At 38.1% G+C, this 23629-nt stretch overlaps 1 long non-coding RNA gene across 4 annotated transcripts in view, besides 1 other annotated feature; it reads right to left on the bottom strand.

Moving 5' to 3' along the window:
- LOC105372666 (uncharacterized) overlaps positions 1-23629 on the bottom strand; it is a 483513-nt gene that overhangs the window by 120508 nt on the left and 339376 nt on the right. For 3 of the 4 annotated variants that reach the window (XR_007067652.1, XR_001754670.2, XR_007067653.1), the window contains one exon: positions 23521-23617. This is a non-coding gene — a long non-coding RNA (uncharacterized LOC105372666). Of the gene's footprint in view, positions 1-1666; positions 7058-23520; positions 23618-23629 lie in introns of those variants that run through there. The other variant, XR_001754671.2, reaches the window with a different exon arrangement.
- Positions 20979-21543: an enhancer, noted in NCBI's record as "OCT4-NANOG hESC enhancer chr20:51168644-51169208 (GRCh37/hg19 assembly coordinates)". NCBI's record gives its function as "activates a minimal SCP1, AML or CMV promoter by ChIP-STARR-seq in primed H9 embryonic stem cells {active_cell/tissue: H9 hESC(primed)}" and the evidence as "EXISTENCE:reporter gene assay evidence [ECO:0000049][PMID:30033119]".

The raw sequence follows: 23629 nt of genomic DNA, 5'->3' as shown, positions 1-23629 counted from the left end.
TAAGAAATGAAAAAAGAGAAGCGGGATGACCTCTTAGAATCTGCTCCCAGTTTTTTTTGTTTTTTTTTTGTTTTTTTTTTTGAGATGGAGTCTCCCTCTGTCACCCAGTCTGGAGTGCAGTGGCATGATCTCGGCTCACTGCAACCTCTGCCTCCTGGGTTCAAGCAATTCGCCTGCCTCAGCCTCCTGAGTAGCTGGGATTACAGGTGTGTGCCACCATGCCCAGATCATTTTTTTATTTTTAGTAGAGACAGGGTTTCACTATGTTGGTCAGGCTGCTCTCAAACTCCTGACCTCACGATCTGCCCACCTCAGCCTCCCAAAGTGCTGGGATTACAGACATAAGCCACTGTGCCTGGCCTGTTTGCACTTTTTATAGAGGATTGAAAGTGCTTAATACCAGTACAACTGCATTATCATTTTTTTTTAGCACAACTCTTGGCATTAACGTTTTTCTAACATGAATCCTTTAGTGTCAGAGTTTCATTTGGACATTTCCCCTGCTTTTTAAAGTTCAAGAACCAGAATGATGGCCCAACTAACTCTTCTTAACAGTGCTCCTGGAAGAATAAACTTTTGTGTTCATATAACCACTTTTCACAAAGCAGCCTGTCTTCATCTGTTTCACACTACTTTAACAGAATAACAGAGACTGGGTTACTTATAAGAAAATAAACTTATTTTTTTATTTCTCACAGCTCTTAAGGCTGGAAAGTCCAATACTGAGGCAACAGCCTCTGGCAAGGGCCTGCTTGCTGAGTCATCCCTTGGCAGAAGGCAAGAGGGTGAGAGGGGGATGGCAGGGAGTAGGGGAGCACTGAATTCGCTTTTTTATAATGAACCAACTTTGAAGATAAATAACCTATTCCCATGACAATGACATTAATCCATTCATGAGGGCAGAACCCTCCTGTCCTAATCACCTCCTAATAGGCCCCACCTCCCAACCCTATTGCCCTGGAGATTAAGTTTCTAACACATGCTTTCGTGAGGACACATTCAAATCCTAACACAGCCCTAGTCCTTCAACAACTTAATCCAGACAAGCCATTAAATGGTGAAAACAGAAAGGCATATTTAAATATCATCTGGTTGGATTTATATTCTCTTAAAAAGACCCTTCACTATAACTCAAATTATTTCCTTATTAATTCTTTAATTTTGATTACTATTTCTGATTTAGTATAATCCCCATCAAAACTCAACAACTAGTTAGTCATTTTAGAAATATCTTTTGGCCTGGCACGGTGGCTCACACGTGTAAATCCCAGCACTTTTGGAGGCCCAGGCGGGAGGATCACCTGTCAGGAGTTCGAGACCAGCTTGGCCAACATGGTGAAACCCTGTCTCTACTATAAATACAAAAGTTAGCCGGGCGTGGTGGTGGCGTGCCTGTAATCCCAGCTACTAGGGAGGCTGAGGCAGGAGAATCACTTGAACCCAGGAGGCAGAGGTTGCAGTGAGCAAGATCATGCCACTGCACTCCAGCCTGGGCAACAGAGTGAGACTCTGTCTCAAAAATAAACAAACAAACAAATAAATACATAAATAAATAAAAATTTTTTAAAAGTAGAAATATCTTTAAACTGTTTTTGTTTTACTTTGTTTGTAAAGCCTAAATTTTCAAGCAGGTTGAGTTCCTTTTTCAGATAAATGCAGTGGACATCTAAGAAGCCAGAACTACAAAAATTCACCTTCTCACTTTCATTTTATTATCCTCCCCTCAAGTTTTTATTTCCTTCTACCACATAATATCACAGTTTTAAAATGCTGCACATAACAGAATTACCCAGGATAGGACATTCCTCCCTTTTTTATTCAAATGTTCTACCTGTCAATTTTCTCTTTTTCTTCCTTTCTGTTGAAACACATATGCATCCCTTCTGAGGAGCAGATACATAGAGGCAAATAATCACTCATGTACACCCACATATAGAGGACACACATCAGATGAGGTATTTTTTTGTTTGTTTGATAGGGGCCTTTTTGTTCTGCTATTCCTGACTCTTTTAAAAGTATGCTAAACAACCTTTTAGTTACCTTGAAATCCACTGCTATGGATGTTTAACTGAGTGTAGAAGAGAGAAAATTAAAATAATCAATGAATGTAGTTTGCTGCCTGGTCAAGGTCATCAGCATTTAATTTACTTGTTCCCTCAAGCGATTGGTGTTAGCTTCACTCTTTCCACTACTCGTTAGCTATAATGCAATTATCTTCATACCCATTTCTACTGGAGTCTGGGATGGCTAAGCCATAGAAGGACTTTTACCTGTTCATTTCATTAAAAAAGAAGAAGAAGAAGAAGTAGTTTGACTCTTCATTGATCATATTTTCTTAAACAACAAATATCTAATTTTTCAAATGCTTCTCTAATTCCATTAAACCTGGTTCCAAATGGCAGGAATGGAAAACGTAGAAGCTGAAGGTGCTCCATCTCTATCCCTAGGCAAGCATCATGCCCGTGCAGCCTGACATGGCAGGTTCCAGCTATAAGCCTCTGGGAGCCCTTGCAAGAGGGATTTTGCAGGCTGCCAGAGACCATTAGCCCCTCACATGAGGCAGACTGGATATGCTGGGGCCTTAGTATTGTTGGCAGCAGGCTTTCACCAGCAACCGGTGGGATTGGGTACATAAATACACTAGCTTCCTGGACTCTCTGTTGGAATAACTCCATAGAACTCTGTTCTTCACTCTTTCCATGAGTCGCCCAGTGGGGGTGAGCCCCAGTTTTCCACAGTCATGACTTACTAGATAATTCACTCTTTATTTGTTTCTACCTTTTCCTGTCTCACATCTTGACTCTCCTACCAGTGCTTCCTGGGCTCACCTTCTACACACACCCCTGGCATTCACATCCTTGCCTCAGTAGTCACAGTGTCCTCAGTCTGAATCCGAAGGACAGCTTTAGATTCTAGTAAAAGGACTAGTTTTGATAAGGAGAAAAATCTGTTTATTCTCCTCAATGTGTCAGAGTTGCTAGAATTTCAAAGGTGATTGTGACAACTATTATAAATAACATCACAGTTCACCCAATGATACCCAAGTAATATAAAGATTTTTTTAACATCCTCCTAAGCCTCTAATTTTCAATTAGAAAATTCAAGCCCCGGATGACTTAGGTTTAAAATATTTTTATTCTTAGGTGATACAGAAACTACTTTTAAATCTGAGTTTTTTTCTAGGTTTGGTTGTTTAATGTTATACTATTTACATATAATTATATTACATTAGGTTACATTAATTATATTACATAACTAATTACATTATATTAATTACATTAAACATATAATGCTTAATGTTACAATGTTAATACTTATTCAGTGTTAAATAAACATTTAACAAGTATTGCCTGTACACTAAGTGTAGTGCCAGTCTTCTAGGAATCCCAACAAGAAATTCTTCTCTGCCTGGCCCAACAAAAAGAGTTGTAGGTTTCAGCCTAACATGCCCAGGGAAGGCCATTTTAAAATGGGTTCTCTGTGACTTTGCAAATATAACTAAGAGTTTATATGTCTATCGACCCATTTTTCAGGTACAGTAACAGAACTGAGTTTATCAAGACATCAGTTTTATGTTTGATCTTAGATTTCATTTTACTATAAAAAACACATGGTCTTAAATTTTATTTTACTATAAAGAACATTATTGGGAAAAATAGAAAAATTTGAATGAAGTCTTTATATTAGATAGTAACATTATATTAATTTTAATTTTCTAGTTATGATACTTGTGTTTTCATTATGTAAGAAAATTTGAGAATTTGTTTTTAGTAAATAAACATTGTATTTAGGGATAAAGGGACATCCTGTCTGCAACTTACTCTTAAATGGTTCTGAAAAATCATCACTTATATCTGATGCAAACACATATCTATCTGTATGTATATTTCTCTTCCTAGACATATAGACATAGATGCAGACTATATGTTTATGATATAGAGAAAGAGCCAGAGGTAGAGAGAGAGATAGAGGTAGAGACAGAGACAGAGATACAGATAGAGATAGATTAAAGAGAAAGAGGCCAGGCCTGGTGGCTCATGCCTGTAATCTCAGCACTTTGGGAAGTCGAGGCGGGAAGATCACTTGAGACCAGGAGTTTGAGACCAGCCTGGGCAACACAGTGATACCTTGTCTACAAAAAATTTAAAAATTAGCCCTGTGTGATGGTGTGCGCCCATGGTCTCAGCTACTAGGACTGAGTGGGGAGGACTGCTTGAGCCCAGGAGGTCCAGGTTGCAGTGAGTCATCATCATGTCACTGCACTCCAGCCTGGGAAACAGAGCAAGAGCCTGTCTTGAAAGGAAAAAGGAAAGGAGGGAAGGGAAGGGGAAATGGAAGGGGAAGGGGAAGGAAAGGAGAAAGGAAAGAAGAAAGGAAAGAAAGAGATAAAGTGGGAGTCTGAGGCAGGCAGATCACTTGAGGTCAGGAGTTTGAGACCAGCCTGGCCAATATGGTGAAATCCTGTCTCTACTAAAAATACAAAAATTAGCCAACTGTGGTGGCATGTGCCTGTAATCCTAGCTACTTGGTAGGCTGAGGCAAGAGAATTGCTTGAACCTGGGAGATGGAGGTTGCAGTAAGCTGAGATCTTGTCACTGCACTCCAGCCTGGGCAACAGAGTGAGACTCCGTCTCAAAAAAAAAGAAAAAAAAAAAGACAAAAGAAAAGGAAGGAAGGAAGGAAGGAAGGAAGGAAGGAAGGAAGGAAGGAAGGAGGGAGGGAGGGAGGAAGGGGAAAAAAGCAAATATTCTAAACATTTAACATCTGAGCAATCTGGGTAAATATTATTTCTGCATTTTTGCAACTTTTCTCTAAGTCAGAAATTATGTCAAAATAGTATCTGTAAAAAGACACACAATCTTACCTTGGTCCCTTTTTAGCTAACAGAACTGTGTGAACCACACATAACTGATTGTATATTCTGGATGCTTTTCATAAAATAAACGATCCCTTCTAGGGGTCATGTCCATTTAAGCTTCTTTAACTAACCAAAGAAAACTACCTATACTTTGGTTGGAAAAGAATCCCTTTATCTCAGAGTCTCTGCATCTACGCAACCTTTAAAAAGGTTTAAAAAGGTCTCTTCCCATTAAAAAAAAAAAGTATTTAATCATTCTGCAGCTAGAACTTTATCCCTGCCTAATGTGAGTACTGTTTGTTTCTGACACACTTCATTTGGATTCTCATGTGAGCAACTTGTCTTTTTCCATTCTGGGGGAGATGGCATGGGGCACCCTGACTGTCTCTCTACTCCAGGTAATTGTGGAGTATGCGGCCATGGAGTTTCACAATGATTTGGAGCGCTTCTTCTGCAAATGTATTATGGTAATGACCTTTCAATACTTCCATTGGCTATCTCGATTAAGCTTTTCATAATGGAACACTTCCACTGTTTCACATACCTACAGTCTATTGAAAAATGACCTGAAGTATCATTAACTCTTTAGACATTTCTGTTAGTAAAAACAACATATTTCCCCTTCACCTCAGTTGACCCCCATTTCTCAATTCTTACCACTTGTCATTCTGGACTAGTCGTGGAATATGTCCTGCTGATTTCTTGCACAAAACACAAGACACCAGGGACATGCAGTGTTTTGGGAGGCGTTCTCTTCCTTTCTAGCTGTGACAGATTATAATTTCTAAAAAGGGTCACAATAGTATTTCCTGTCCTACATGCTCTTCCAGAACTTCTCACTCCCCCGTTAAGATGTGGAGTCGCTTGAACCTGGATGGGGCTTTTTGTCTGCATCAAATAATAGAATACAGCATAAGTAATGCTATGTGCCTTCTAAAGCTAAGTCATACACGGCAACATGGCTTTCAGCTAGTTTAGAACATTTGCCCCTGGAATCCAACCATCATGTTGTAAGGAAGCCCAGGCCACGTAAAGAGGAGCCAAAGCCCCCTGGACTCCTAGCTGATTGCCAACATCAATTCACCAGCCATGGGAGTGAGCATAGAGGATTTAGATCCTCCAGCCCTAAGTCAATCCCCACAACCAATGCTATGTGGAGTGGATTCAAGTCTTCTCCACGGAGCCCTATTCAAATTACAGACTTGTGCACAGGATAAATGTTTGTCACTGTTTTGAGTCATTAAGTCTTTAAGTGGTTTGTTATGCAGAAATAGATGACAAGGACACTATCACAGGACATGCCAAGAAACCTAAGCCTTAACATGCTGTTCATAGCTGTTATCCTTTTCTCTCATGTTTTAAGACGTGGGCAGTGCCTCTGTGGATGCATTTCTTACTATCCATGTGGACCATCAGTAGAAAGAAAAGCAGACATGTATTTTATAGATTTTGTTGTTGCAGCAGGTTTCATATGTGTTTAGAAATAATATCTAGCCACAGAGTGACTGGAGGATTGAGTGCTTCCAGGCACAGCTGAAATCTATTAATAATTTTTAAAAAACAGCTAATTATGTCGTATATCTTCTGTTTGCCCCTCCAGATCCCTCCCATTCTTCTCCAAGAGGTGTGGAAGGCTAACCTGTAAAGACTATAACAAAGGGCTTTCCTCTGGCTTCTGGAAGAACAGCCTTATCAGGAATATGGAGAAAAGAGAGTGAGTCAGGGGATAAAGATCTTTTGAAGAAAGGTGTGGAGGTAGGTGGTAGCATGCTAGTGTAAGTTTAACAACTGGTTCTCGAGGAAAAAAAAAAGGATGTATATATACACATAGATGTTTGCTACAAATTTTACTGATATAAAGGATATGTTGCACACAATTTGCAAATAATAATAAGATATTCAGTATTTATTATAAATTCCATAGAGTTAATTGATTCTCACATAATACTTTCATTGATTTCCTTCTCAGCCCTTGTCCCCACAGTCAACCTATGGTTACAATTGATAAATGAGTATAGCGGAGACATGATTATTGGCTAACATTTTTGTCTACAGTAAAGAGTAAAATTAAAGTGAAAATACAAAAATATGGAAATTATACTTACTCACTGATGATATGAGCTGCTTTATTGCTGAATCATGTCATAGCTTTCAAATACTCAAAGAATATGACCTCAGTTCTTTTGCTCTTCACAACAGCTATAGACATGAAACGTATTCAAGTTTAATCTGCATTATTAACAGGACTTCTGTCATTTTCTCAAGCCTAGACAATCAGCAAAACAATAAATAAAGCCTTGACTTGTATCGTTTGCCAATGTCTGTGGTGTAAATATTCCCACCATGAACTATTTCAAGCTACTAACATGATGTCACTGAACGTGGAAGTGGGAAATGATTCACCATAGTACATGATTATATAGTATTGTCATACTATGTAACAGAGATGCAATAGATGCAAATAACGTAAAGTGTAGGTAACAGTAAAATGCAAAATAATTAGGAATTACTTAGTTTTGAGACTTTATTATCTTTGCTGCTAATCAAATTTATTTAATTGAAAGTTCATATAATTTTTTTTTAATAATGACCATTCTTAATAACTGGTTTGTAAAGTTCCTGAGATTTCAATAATGGGCTCTCACAAACCAGTATAGGCCAGCTAGCTCCACCTCATTCTGGAGATAGAAAATGACATGATACTGATTTGCAGTGAGAACAAGCAATGACTCTCATGCCTAGCTGCATGTTAGAATCACCTGGAAAAAATTCCAACGCCTAGGACACACCCCAGGCCAATTAAATCAGGATCTCCGGGAGTAGGGTTTGGGCATCATTATCTTTTTATGTTCTGCCAAATGATTCCAATATGCAGCCAAGGTTGAGAACCACTGGGATAGAGGGAGAGGATGACTAGCCTGCTCCTGGAGAGATGAGATGAAAGTCACCTGGGCTGGGAGTGCCCAGTGACTCAATGGAGCTCAGAGGAGGTTGGAACAGTATCTGGAACTCAGTTGTAGGCAGGGCCACCTGGAAGAGGCAGTTAGCCCTGAGAGAGTTCAAAGCACCATCCCTTGCTCACAGCAGGAAGCCTTGTGCCAGGTGAGCCCTTGTCTCCTTTCCCTGGCTATTCGCTTCTCAGGCAGGTAGGGGCTGTCCCTTGCCAGCCACCTCACCCTTGTACTGTCCTGCAGAAGAGTCTCCCACACATGTCCAAAGAATTTTCTGATCCCCATCAGGACTGCTCCTAAATGGCTAGTCCTCTTTTTTGACAGCTCAGGACACTCATAAGCCTCTCAAAAGAGAAAAGGTGACAGTGTGGAAGTCTTATAGTCCTATAGTCCCATAGTGGTTGTGATTCCACAAAATGCCTACGTTGAAATCTTAATCCCCAAGGTGATGATACTAGGATGTGGGGCCTTTGGAAGGTATTAGGCCATGAAGATGGAGCCCTCATGAACGGGATTAATGCCCTTGTCAAAGAGACCCCAGAGAGCTCATTTCACCATGTGAGGACACACAGCAAGATGGCTGTCTATGAGCCAAAAAGTGGGTCCTCATCAGACACCGAATATGCTGCAGCCTTGATCATGGACTTCCCAGTCTCAAGAACTGACACATAAATTTCTGTTGTTGATAAGCCATCCAATCTATAGCATTATGGGTAGAGCAGCCCCAGTGGACTAAGACAGGAAGGAAGGGTCCTATTGTCAGCACTTGGTACTGCACAGTGGTGAAACTTCCCCGTTAATGATTTCAAGTACTTCAAATCCTCACCACCACCCAAGATGTGCAACTGTTATTCACCTTCATCTACAGGTTCAGAGAGGTTGACCAATGTGCTCAAAGTCACACAGCTAGAAAAAGGCAGAGCTGGGCATAGGCCGCAGGCCAGTGTAGCAGAAGCACACCGAACAGTTCCAGACGCCTTCTCTCACAGAGGCCCCAGGCAACCTTCATTTCAGTTCCAGACTCTCAGCATATTTGCCATGAAATGTTGATCCTTATCCTTCCGTCTGCTTTGGGTGAAGACAACAGGCTGTGGCTAAGAGAAAGAAAGCCTATCCCTGGGGCCATTAACAGCCATTTTTAAACACTCTTTAATAAAGACTATTTCTCAATCTGGATAATCATGTAGACAGCATGAATTTGTTTCTTGCTTTGGCAGTCAGTGCAGCACTGGCTTTGGAACCAAATGGACCTGGGTTCAAATCCTGATGCTGCTACCCACAAGTCACTGGACTGCTTTGAAACCTCATTAATCCTTGTGGTTCTTGTTGGTTAGTCTGTGAAAGGTGATAACAGTAATTGCTTCATATGGTTGTTATGTATTCACAGAAAATGTATTTACAATGTCATGTGCCTTACCCATAGTAGTTTCTTAAAAGTGCTTATTCTTATGTACATGGTGTCCTAACTTTTAGATATTCTCATTGTTTGTTTGTGTAAACAAAAGATCCTGGTTTGCTGAAAAATGTGTGCGTATATTTGGGGATTTTGTTGTTGTTGTTGTTGATGATGAAATCTCACTCTGTAACCCAGGCTGGAGTGCAACGGCACAATCTCGGCTCACTGCAACCTCTGCCTCCTGGGTTCAAGTGATTCTCCTGCCTCAGCCTCCCGAGTAGCTGGGATTACAGGCATGTGCCACCACGCCCAGCTAATTTTTGTATTTTTAGTAGAGACAGGGTTTCGCCGTGTTGGCCAGGCTGGTCTCGAACTCCTGACCTCAGGTGATCTGCCAGCCATGGCCTCCCAAAGTGCTCGGATTACAGGCATGAGCCTGTAAGCACACAAAGACTTGTCCTCCTGGAGGACACTACGTTAAGCGCCTGGCCTGGGATTTATGCTAAATGAGAATATACTCAAAAAAAGCAGGACAATTGCTAGTAGAAATGTAAAAGGGTACAGACACTTTGGAAAACAGTTTGAAAGGGAGTTTGAAAATTGTTTTACAGTTAAATGCAGAAATGACCAATGAAAAAATGCTCAGCGTCACTAATCATCAGAGAAATGCAAATCAAAACCACAATAAGATATCATCTCACCCCAGCTATGATAGCTATTATCGGAAAAACAAAAAATAACAAACGCTAGCAAGGATTCAGAGAAAAGGCAATTCTTATACACTGTTGGTGGGAATGTAAACTAGTACAACCACTATGGAGAACAGTAGGGAGATACCTCAAAAAAACTACAAATAAGACTACCATATGATCGAGCAATCGCACTACTGGGCATTTATCAAAAGGCAGGAAAATCATTATATTGAAAAGACATTGGCATTCCCACAATAGTCAAGATATAGAATCAACCTAAGTATTCAACAACAGATGAATGGATAAAGAATATGTGGTATATATACACAATGGAATACTATTCATTCATAAAAAATAATGAAATCTTATCACTTGAGGCAACATGAATGGAACTGGAGGACATTATGTTAAGTGAAATAAGCCAGAAAGTTAAACACCGCATGTTTTTATTCATGTGTGGAAGCTAAAAACAGTTGATCTCATAGAAGTAAAAAGTAGAATGGATGATACTAGAAGCTGGGAAGAGTAGGCGGATGAGGAGGTAGGGAGAGAATTGTTAAAGATTACAAAATTACAGCTAGATAGGAGGAATAACTTCTACAATTCTTTAACACTGTAGGATGTCTATATTTAACAATGCTATATAGTTTCAAATAGCTAGAAGGAGGATATTGAATGTCCTCAATATAAAGAAGTGATAAATGTTTATAATAGATACGCTAATTACCCTGATCTGATCACGATACATTATATGTATTGCAACATCACTATGCATCCCATAAATAGGTACAATTTTAAAACTGTTAATTTTTAAAATTTTTTTTAAAGTTCTTAAATAAATTTTTAAATAAATAAATAAAGTTAAATATAAATTACCATACAATCCAGTAATTCCATTCCTAGGTATATATCCTAGAGAACTGAAAATTTATATCCACACAAAGACCAATTCATGCATATGTATAGCAACATTATTTATAATAGCCAAAAACTGGGAACAATACAAATGTCCATCAATAGATGAATGAGCAAACTAAATATATATGTCCACACAGTGGAATACTACTCGGCAATCAAAAGGAAAAAGTACTGATACATGGTAGGACATAGATGAATCTCAAAAACACTACATTAAGTGAAAAAAACTAGAGGCAAATGATTACGTATTATATGATTCCATCTATATGAAACGTATGGAAAGGGCAAACCTTTAGAGACAGAAAGTAGATTACTGGTTGCCTAGAGTTGAAAGTAGGAACACAGAGTAACTGCAAATGGGTCTGAGAGAACTTTTTTGGTATGATGGAATGGCTCACAAATTGAATTGTGGTGATAACTGCACATCTCTATAAATTTACTAAAAATCATTTAATTTTACATGTAAACAGGTGAATTTTATGGTATGTAAATTACATCTCAATAAAGCTATGCAAAATTAAAAAGAAAAGCCAGGTATAGGATTACTTAAAAATAATTACATTTTTAACTGCTTGGTCAAATAACTCAAGGCCTCTGTCACTTCTGCCTCATTTCCAGAAGAGACATCTAACATTTAACCTGCTTTAAGATAGAATCTAGAATAAATAATAACAACAAAGTCTATTGTGTATGGGTACTCCTAGTATATTGTACTCTGTGATACACAATTGATATTCTTTGTCCATGTAATCCTAACATCTGATCTGCAAAATCTTATATAATATTATCTCCCACAAATTTATAGATGAGAAAGTTGAGGCTCTTATAAGTCAAAAAAAAAGTGTCCAAGGTTACTGAGCAAACAAATGCCAAAGCTGGGGTTTTTCTAGCAAGAGTTAAACCATCCTTTTATTCTCTCTTGTAAGGAAACTTTCATACCCATTCTGCACATATCTGCAGCCTCTTTTAATCCAAAATGAAGACTTGTACATCATCTCACAACATATCAGCAAATAGGAAAGATACAAGCATACTCATTTAATTGACAGAATTTAATCTATATTATAAAAGTGAACATATATAATAACTTGCATTGATTTAAGAGACAATCAAAAAGCTTCTTGTAGGTTGAATCTTTGTGAGTTATTTCTTTAAAAGCCCATTTACCTAACTTTGACATTCTAATAAAAAGATAAGATTATGATTCTTGAGAACTATATAGATGATAAACACAGAATAGCTAAAAGACAGAGAAAATGCAATAAATAAAATACCACATTGCAAAAAAACAGAATAATCATTATGTCTAACCATACATAAATAATGGTATATCAATAAAATCAAATATAATGTAACCTTTAAAAAATCATGTTTCAAAGATTGACATCAGCAAGGTGGCTGACTAGAGAGGCCTAGTGTTCATCCCCCAAGAAAGGACAATGGCAATGAATGGCTAAGATTTTCTGGAGTGCTGAAGAGAGAGTACTGGAGTGCAGTGGGGGAGTGGAGACACATCTGTAGTGACTGGAAGTCCAGGAGGGCAGCATGGAGGAATCTGGCCTCTGCAGCCTCATTTTCCCCACTTGGATCAGATCTGCCCAGATTCAGAAGGGATTTCCCCTTGCAGAAAAAAGGTAAGCAGAAGATCCCCACCAGCCCCTATCACCACCACAAACACCTACAGTTCTTACTGCAGAGGAATCTCACAGTCCTGAGTCTGGCTTGGAGAGCTGCTGGGAATTCATGCAGCTGCATTGCCCCAGAGTAGGAGCACAATGTGTATGCACTTCCACACTTCCCACCCCCACCCCACCCCCATGAACCAAACTGCTGCAGCATGGTGCCATCTTGAGACCAGAGCTGCCTCTGGAGTGCACACTGCTCTGGGGTCCAGTAGCCTCTCCAGCAGTGGGGATCCATCTTCATTCCACCAATGCTACAATGGTTGCTGGACACCACAACTCCAGCCACATGGAGCATGGGCCCAAGATTGGCTGTGAGTCTGGTCCTCCACATCAGGGAAACCAACCTTCTGCTGTTATACTACCAGCCAGAGAAACAGCCTGGCCATTCCACCCAGGGAAAACCCACTCTTGAGCCAGCCAAACTGCTGTGTGCCCTCTCCTGAGCAGGAGAGTTCCCTCAGCCACCAAGCAACTAACATGCCCCTAAGCCAGTCAAGAAGCTATGTGCCCCCATCTTGGGCCTGAGAAACAGCCCTGTTGGCTGCCCCTGACAGGCATAACCCCATGTCAGCCATGCAACTGTGCGCCTATATCCTGAGCTGCAAAAGCATCCCTGTGAGCTTCCCCAAAAAGACACTCCCCAGGCTGGTCAGGTAGCCTTGCACCTGCATCCCAGACCTGAGAAACAACCCTGGGAAGGAAGACACACTGACAGGCAAGCCAAGCAGCCTTGCAACTGTGTCCAGAGCCTGAGAAAAAGCCCTATGGTCTGCCCCTAGCAGGCATGCTCCCACATTGGCCAAGCAACTGTGCATCCATGCCCATAGCCAGAGTAACAGTCCCATGACTGCAACCCTAGCAAGGCAGGTCCTAGGTTGAGCACTCACACGCCCCTGACCTGAGAAACAGCCCAGCAATCCCACCCCCAGCAAAGCCATACAATCACACTACATATTTCCTCAGCATATGTCACTGAGACACTCACAAACATCACTAGCATGGATTACAGCTGAAGAAACTACATGGAGACTGCACTACTGCATTCACATAAAACCAAAGCCAACAAACCCCACCAAACTGACCCTCCAAGACACATCATTATGAATCAAACTTTCTCTTCAAACTCTACACCATAAAATTGAAAGAGGTGACTTTTCCCCTGGATACATGGAAATTAACATGACATATCAAACATAAAAAATGCAAGGAAATGACACCTGCAAAGGAACACAATAATTCTCCAGTAACAGACCCCAATCATAATGAAATATGTGAAATGCCAGAAAAAGAATGCAAAATAATAATCAAGAAAACTCAGTAAGGTATAAGAATACAGACAATTCAGTGACATTAGGAAACAACTCATGATATGAATGAGAAATTCAGTGGAGATTGCTATCATGAAAAAAGAGCCAAACAGAAACCCTAGAGCTAAGAATTCAATGAATGAAATTAAAAATATAATCAAGAGTTTCAGTAAAAGACTAGATCAAGCAGAGGAGTAAATTTCTGAACTTGAAGAAAGGTCTTTTGAAATAACACAGGCAGACACAAGAAAAAAAATTAAGACAGCCTACAGGATTTATGGGACATCATTAAGTAACAAATATCACATTATGGGTGTTCCAGGAGAAGAGAAGAGACAGAGTATAGAAAACATATTTTATGAAATAATAGCTAACATTTTTCCAAGTATTAGGAGAGAGATAGATATCCAGGCCCAGGAAGCTCAAAGATCCCCAAATAGAATCAACCTAAAAAGGTCTACCCTGAGCCATATTACAGTCAAATTGTCAAAAGTCAAAGACAAAAAGAGAATTCTAAAAACAACAATGGAAAAGCATCAGGTCACGTATAAAGGAATCCCTATTAGACTAATAATGCATTTCTCTACAGAAACCTTACAGGCCAGGAGAAAACAGGATGATATATTCAAAGTACTAGGGGAAAAATATTGCTAGCCAAGAATATTATAATCAGCAAAGCTATCCTTCAGAAATGAAAGAGAAATAAAATCTTTCACAGACAAGCAAAAACTAAGGGGATTCTTCACCACCATACCAGCCACACAAGAAATGCTCAACAGAGTCTTACATTAAAAAGTGAAAAGATGCTAACCACCATGAAAACATGCAAAACTATAAAACTCACTGGGAGAACCAGTACACAAAAGACAAAGAGGAAAAAAATTAAACATTATCACGATAAAAAACCACCCAATCACAAAAATTAACAATAAGAGAGGAAGTAAGTAATGAAGGATATACAAAACAACTAAAAAACAATCAGTAAAATAACAAGAGTATGCCCTCATCTATCAATAATAATCTTGAATGTAAACAGATTACATTCCCCATTTAAAAGATAAAGACTGACTGAATGGATAAAAGACATGACCCAACTATATGCTGCCTAGAAGAAACTCACCTCACATGTAAAGACACACATAGACTGAAAATAAAGGAATGGAAAAATATATTCCACCCAAATGGAAACCAAAAGTAAGCAGAGGTAGCTATACTTATATCAGACAAAACAGACTCATGTCAAAAACTGTAAAAAGAAACAAAGAAGTCTATTAAATAATAATAAAGGGATCAATTCAGCAAGAGAATATAACAATTATAAATATATATGCACCCAACACTGGAGCACCCAGATATATAAAGCAAATATTATTAGATCTAAAGGGAGAAATAGATCCCAATACAATAATATTTGGTGACTACAACACTCCATTCTTCAGGATTGACCATATGTTAGGATACAAAACAAGTCTCAAAGAAAAATTAAAAACTTAAAATCATATCAAATATTTTATCTGATTACAATGTAATAAAACTAGGAACTAATAACAAGATGAAAATTCAAAATTATATGAATACATGGAAATTAAACAACATGCTCCTGAATGACCAATGGGTGAAGGATGCAATAAAGAATGAAATTTAAAAATTATTTGAAATAAATAAAAATAGAACACAGTATCCCCAAACCTATGAGATACAGCAAAAGCAGTATTAAGAGGCAAATTTATAGCAAAAAATGCCTACATAAAAAATTAGAACTATTTCAAATAAACCACTTGATGCATCTCAAGGAACTAAAAATGCAAGAACAAACCTAACCTAAAATTAGCAGAATAAAAAAATAATAAATATCAAAACAAAAATAAACAAAACTGAAACTAAAAAACTTACAAAAGATTAACAAAACAAGAAGTCAGTTTTTTAAAAAGATAAATAAAATAAACAATTTGCTAGACTATGAAAAAAGGGAATACCAAAATAAAATCAAAAGCAAAAAAAGATGTCACAACAGATACAACAGAAATATAAAGGATCCCTAGAGACTACTATGTACAACTATACACTAACATATTTGAAAACTTAGAGGAAATAGATAAATTCCTGGACACATACAACCTAGCAAGATTGAACCAAGAAGAAATAGAAAACCTGAACACACCAATAACAAGTAACGAGATTGAACCAGTAATAATAAGTCTTCCAACAAAAAAGTCCAGGACCAGATGGCTTAACCACTGAATTCTACTGAAACTTTAAAGAAGAATTAACACCAGTTCTCAAACTATTCTATAAAATGAAGCAGAAGAAACTCTTCCTAACTCATCCTACAAGGCCAGCATAAACCTGATATCAAAACCAGACAAGAACACAAACTTAAAAATGCAAACTACAGTCCAATATTCCTGATAAACATAGATGAACAAGCCCTCAAAAAAATACTAGCAAACCTAATCTAACAGTACATCAAAAAGGTATCACACCATGATCAAGTGGGATTTATCCTAGGAAGCAAGGATGGTTCAACATATACAAGTCAATAAACATTGTACATCACATCAGTAGAAAAAAGAACTAAAACCGTATGATCCTCTCAATAGATGAAGAAAAATCTTTTGATAAAATTCAAACATCCCTTAATGATAAAAATGTTTAATAAATTAGGTATAAATGGATACATGAAAAACCTATAGCTAATATGTTTCTGAATAGGGAAATGCCGAAAGCTTCTTTTTTAAGAACTACAACAAGACAAGATGCCCACTCTCGCCAGTCTTTCAACATAGCATGGAAGTTATAACCAGGGCAACTCGGCAAGTGAAAAAAAGAAAAGACATCCAAATTAGGAAAAAAGAAACCAAATTATTCTTGTTTGAAGATATGATCTTATATTTGAAAAAACTAAAAACTCCACCAAAAAAACTACTAGAACTGATAAACAAATTCAGTAAAGTTGCAGTATATAAAATTATTGTACAAAATGTAGATGATGGGTTGATCGGTGCAGCAAACCACCATGGCATGTGTATACCTATGTAACAAACCTGCATGTTCTGCACATGTATCCCAGAACTTAAAGTATAATAAAAAAAATCAGTAGCATTTCTATACACAAACAACTAGCTGAAAAAGAAATCAAGAAAGTAACCCCATTTAAAATAGCTACTAAAAAATTAAATACCTAGGAAATTAAATACCAATGAGGTAAAAGACCTCTACAATGAAAACTGTAAAATATTGATGAAAGAAATTATAGATGATACAAATGGAAGAATATTCCATGCTCATTTATCAAAAGAGTTAATATTGTTAAAATGACCCAAAGCAATCTATAGATTCAATGTAATCTCTATCAAAATACCAATGATATTCTTCACTGAAATAGAAAAAAAAATCTAAAATTTGGATGTAACCACAGAATATCCTGAATATCCAAAGGAATCCTGAGCAAAAAGAACAAAGCTGGAGGTATCACACTACCAGACCTAAAGATATATTACAAAATAGCATGGTACTGACATAAAAATAGATCCATAGGCTAATGGGACAGAACAGAGAACCCAGAAATTAATCCACATATCTACAGCCAACTGATTTTTTACAAAAGTACCGAAACACTCATTTGGGGGAAAGGACAGTCTCTTCAATAAGTGGTGCTGGGAAAACCAGAGATCCATGTGCAAAAGAATAAAACTAGACCCCCATCTCTCACTCTATACAAAAATGGACTCAAAATGGATCAACGTCCTAAATATAAAGTTCAAAACAATAAAACTACTGAAAGAAAACAACAGGGGAAACACTTCAAGACATTGGTCAGAAAAAATATTTTATGAATTAAGACCTCAAAAGCACAGAGAGCAAAAGCAAAAATAAACAAAAGGGATTATATCAAGCTAAAAAGCTTCCAAAAGAAGAGAAAACAACATAGTGAAAAAACAACTTCTAAAATAGGAGAAAATATTTGCAAACTTCTCATCTCACAGCGAATTAATGTCCAGAATTTACAAGGGATCCAAACATCTCAACAGCAAAAAAAAAAAACAAACAATCCAATTTAAAAATGAGCAAATGATCCGAACAGACATTTCTCAAAAGAAAATACACAGATGACCAACAAATGTATTTTAAAATGCTCAACATCATTAATTATCAGGGAAATGCAAACGAAAACCACAATGAGGTATTATCTCACCCCTGGTAGGATAGCTATTATCAAAAAGAGAAAAAAAATAACAAATACTGGCAAAGATTCAGAGTAAAAAAGAACTCCTATACACTGCTGGTGGGAATGTAAACTAGTACAGCCATTATGGAAAACAGTATGGAGCTTCCTCAAAAATCACAAATAGAACTACCATATGATTCCACTACTGGGAATCTATCCAAAGGAAAGAAAATCATTAAATCAAAGAGATAGCTGCACTCCAATGTTTATGGCAGCACTGCTCAAAATAGCCAAGATAGGGAATCAACCTGTGTCTAACAACAGATGAATGGATAAAGAAAATGTGGTATATATGCACAATGGAATACTATTCATTCATAAAAAAGAATGAAATCCTGTCATTTGCAGCAACATGGATAGAACTGGAGGACATTATGTTAAGTGAAATAAGCCAGAAACGGAAAGTTAAACACCACATGTTCTCATTCATGTATGGAAGCTAAAAAAGGAAATTGATCTCATAGAAGTAAAAAGTAGAACAGAAGATACAAGAGGCTGTGAAGGGTAGGGGGATGAGGGAATAGGGAGGGAATTGTTAAATGATACAAAAGTATAGCTAGATGGGAGGAATACATTCTAGTGTTCTATAGCACTACAGGATGACTATAGGTAACAATAATATATTATAGTTTCAAATAGCTGGAAGGAGGATATTGAACATCCCCAATGCAAAGAAGTGATAAATGTTTAAGATGATGGATATGCCAATTACCCAGATCTGATCACTATCCATTACACATAACGAAACATCACTATGTGCCCTATGAATATGTATAATCACTATGTGCCCTATGAATATGTATAATTATTCCTTGTCAATTAAAAAATAAAATTTTAAAAATCAAAAAGAACGTGAACATTTGAAGTAAAAAAAAAATCATGTTTCCCAGAATACTTAATGGCATAAAAAATAATTTAAGATATAATGTAGTGAGAAAAGCAGGATATGAAATTCCATAAAGAATATAATACCAAAATTGTAAATAATACTACAGTTTATGCACATATACACACACACACACACATATATATACTCAAATAGGCCAGGTGTGGTGGCTCACGCCTGTAATCCCAACACTTTGGGAGGCCAAGGTGGGTGGATCCCTTGAGGTCAGGAGTTCGAGACCAGCCTGGTCAACATAGTGAAACCCCATCTCTATTAAAAATACAAAATTAGCCAGGTGTGGTGGCACACACCTGTAATCCCAGCTACTCAGGAGGCTGAGGCAGGAGAATCACTTGAACTGGGGAGGTGGAGGTTGCAGTGAGCCGAGATTGTGCCATTGCACTCCAGCCTGGGCAAAAAGAGCGAAACTCTGTCTCAAAATATATATATATAATATATATAATAATATATTATTATATATAATATATATAATATATTATATAATATATTATATATATAATATATATAATAATATATATTGTATATATATAATATATTATATAATATATTATATATATAAAAATATATATATATAATTATATAATATATTATATATAATTATGTTATTATATTATATATATTATAATATATAACATAATTATATATATTATAATATATATTATATTTATAACATATATTATATATTATAATATATTATATTTATATATTATATATTATAATATATTATATTTATATATTATATAATTATGTTATATATTTTATTATATATATTATATATAAAAACTGTCTCAAAATATATAAATATGCATATATACATTGTGTGTGTGTACAAACATGTGTATGTGACTAAAAAATGCATCAAAAATAACAGTATTAATGGTTACTTCTGTGTAATGCAATAATATGTGATTTTTACTTTCCACCTTACACTTTTCTGTATTCGGCAAATAAATATGATTCACTCTTAAGATTAAAATTAGAAAAAACTATATACATAACTATGTTTAAAGAAAAACATAATCATTAGAAAAAATGAATTTTATTTTTACAGACACACTTGCTCTAAATAAACTCTTACCTAATTATGGTACTGATAGGTGCATGTGTAACATAAAACATGAAGGACTGAAGTCTAGTTTCTCAAATGAATTTTTTCTTTGTTCCATTTGGAACCAATTTGAGAGGCACTCCCAGGGTGCCATCTGTCCTTTCCCAGTCATATCCTCACCGCCAGCCTTGGACAACTTTGTTCAGATGAAATGGGGACCTTTTTTGTGTCCATTCCTTGACGGCTTTGAAAATTATTTAGCTTCTATCATGATGGATACTCTCTGCGTAAAATGACAGATGGGCAGCCTCAGAAAATGGACGACATGAAATTTGAAAAATGATATGACTGCTGGTGGACAGACATTTTTTTAAAAGAAAACTTGACATGAGTTTGAAATATAGCATGGAGGCCTGTTCTATCATTTTTCTCCCTCTGAAGAAATCAGTAGCTGTCCTTTATCCATATGCTCTTCAGGAAAGAAAACCTATACTCGAGTTAAAATGGATTCTTTTCCCCTCCTTAAAAAGTACGTGAGGTAAACTGTAGGAGTGAATTTGCTCATTTACTCACTCAACAATTTATTGAGTGCCTACTATATGGAGGCCATTGGTTAGTGGCTGGGGATATCAAGACGTATTAAACATAGTCCCTGCCTCCAGGGATCCCATAGCCCAGTGAAGAGAAATGAGTAAATAGATGAGTACCATCCGATGCAGTATGATCAAAGAGAGAAGTGCATCAGGAGTGTTACGGGCCCTGGAGGAATGGGATGACACTAGGTCTTGCGCAGGGAAGAAGGGTGTTAGAAGAGTCTTCCCCTGAGAAGGTGATGCCTGAGATGAGTCCTTTGCAATGCTCATATATTTCTCTTATTGTCTTGGCTAAATCTTGATGAATTACGAATCATCTGCCTGTTGACACAGAGGCAAACCTTTTCCTATGAACCATTTTACTTAGTCACACAATTCCAGACCACGTCTCAGCTGCGGGTTGGCATGTGCCCAGAGAATTCCAGTTCCTTTAACAGATTAACTTTTAAATGTTTTACCCACCTCAGCAAAGCAAGGATTTTCCCCAAAAAGTGAGCTAATGTCTCTCCTTTTTCCCTTCTGTTCTTCCCCACAATTATATAATACAACCCGACGTCATCGAGGTATTTATTTTCTTGGTAGGAGGCACAGGTATGTGCTTGTGTTACCGGAGGTATTCGAGTTTATTGTAAGAATACAAAGGTAAGGAAGGAAATAGAAGTTGCCTCACACCCCTGATCAAAGGAGATGCAACTTATCCAACAGGAGCCCTGTGGATGCTGTAATGGCTCTGGGACCTGTGTCTCCAAAGCCGGCATGCTCTGTGCTCTCCCGTGCTCCTGGCTTTGTGATGACTCAGTTACTCTCAGCCTCTACTGAATTACTGCACTTTTTACCCTTCTTGCGGCTAATTTCAGGCTTTCACTGCCTCATTGCACCTGCTCTTTCTCTTCTCTCTGCATTCATATATTAGCATAATTTAAGCTCAGAGCACCTTCTCTCAAGAAAGGAAGAAGGAAGGCCAAATAGAACTCTCCAGCGATCATCCCGCCTCTCCCCAGAGGAAAACCAAATTGAACAACTATCCACATAAGAAAACACCTTCATAAGGACTGAAACTCATCTGAGTAATCGCAGTGCCCAATTTTAATATCATATCAAGGAAAGAGGCACTGAAGATGGTAGGAGAGACAGTTTTGAATTGCCTACACCACCCCACCTGTCTCCCCCCACAGTGGCCACATGGCATTGAGAGAGAATGTGTGTGCTGGAGGAGGCAGAGTGCAGTGATGATGGGGTTTTGCATTGGAACTCAGTGTAGCCCTGTCACAGCGGAAAGCAACACTTGACAGAAACTCACCCAACATAGATGAAGGCGGCATTTAGATGAGTCCTAGCCAGAGGCAAACTGTTCATCCCAGGGTCAGAACTTAAATTCTGGCTAGCCTCACCACCACGAGCTAAAGTGCTCTGGGTCCTAAATAAACTTGAAAGGCAGTCTAAGCTACAAAGGTTGCAATTCCTGGGCAACTCCTGGTGCTGTCCTGGGCTTGGAGCCAGTGGACTTGGCGTACACATGACCTAGTAATTTTACTCCCAGAGGATATTTGACAACATCTGAAGACATTTTTGATTTTCAAGACCAGGGGAATGCTATTGGCATCTAGTAAGTAGAGGCCAGGGATGCTGTTAAATATTGTACAATTCCCAGGACAGTCCCCACAACAAAAAAGTATTCTAGGCCAGGCGTGGTGGCTCACGCCTATAATCCCAGCACTTCGGGAGGCTGAGGCGGGTGGATCACGAGGTCAGGAGATCGAGACCATCCTGGCTAACAAAGTGAAACCCCATCTCTACTAAAAATACAAAACATTAGCCGGGCGTGGTGGTGGGCGCCTGTAGTCCCAGCTACTCAGGAGGCTGAGGCAGGAGAATGGCGTGAAACCGGGAGGCGGAGCTTGCAGTGAGCGGAGATCGCCCCACTGCACTCCAGCCTGGGCGACAGAGCGAGACTCCGTCTCAAAAAAAAAAAAAAAAAAAAAAAGTATTCTACCCTAAATGTTAATAGTGCCCAAACTGAGAACCCCTGCTCTATTATAAAGGGCTTGATACTATTTGTGCTTCAGTCTGCTCTGCCAGGATGTGAAATTTTAGAGAGTTGGGGTCATTTCTTACTTATCCCTCCACCCCATCCCACAATTACAGAGCAGGCCCTAATACACATTTGCACAGGAGAATCATTAAACATTATTAAATAAAGAGATTCCTGATGCCTTCACTGGAGGATGCCACATAGAGTTGCCCACGAAGAAGGAGCTCAACTGCAGATCAGCTCCTGGCCTCCCCGCATCCGCCCTTGTGGCTTTTGAATCAGAGCTTGCCTTGAAAGCACTGTTTGTTACTCTGACCATGTCACCCTGATATGAACCATCCCTCCTCTGATTGACAGTCACACAGGCTTCCTCTTGAACCTGTTTTAGCCACACTGGAGTTATCACAGTCCATCTCTCTCAGGTCCCTGCCACCACCACAAAATGAATTTCATCAACTCTACAGAAACTAGATGACCAAATATTCCAAACTATACCCTCTAAATTTGGTGAATACCCATCTAGCTTTTATTGTTTAATGCTGTAACCAGCAAATAGAAAATTCAGTTTATTTCCACAGATTAAGTGATTTTGTAAAGACGCAGGAAACCATTGGAAATGAAGAAATTAAAGATGGGGAAGAAAGGATACAGAAAGGGAAGAAAAAGGGACATGCAAGGAAGAAGCATGCGGGAGGAACAACACAGACTCCTTCAGTCTTGATCTCAGGGATTTTCGAGCTTCAGGGTTACCAGGGCAATCCTGAGTGGTCTTGGGACACATTTGGGTCTCACTGTTAAATAGATCTTACTATAGCTCTGATACTTACCTCATGGAGGACCATATGAGGGAACACAAACTGCTTTGAAGGTTGCTAACATGTAATGAATGCTGAGAGAATACTTACTAGGTCTGTTGTTCTGACTTTGGTCTAAGAACACCAAGGGACTTGTTCTTGACATTTTTTTCATAATCACAAATAGGAAACCTTCATCTTGAGATGCCTGCAAAAAGTT

The sequence above is a fragment of the Homo sapiens genome, chromosome 20 (genome assembly GCF_000001405.40).
Source record: "Homo sapiens chromosome 20, GRCh38.p14 Primary Assembly".
NCBI lineage: Eukaryota > Metazoa > Chordata > Mammalia > Primates > Hominidae > Homo > Homo sapiens.
This window is presented reverse-complemented; position numbering and strand designations above follow the sequence as displayed.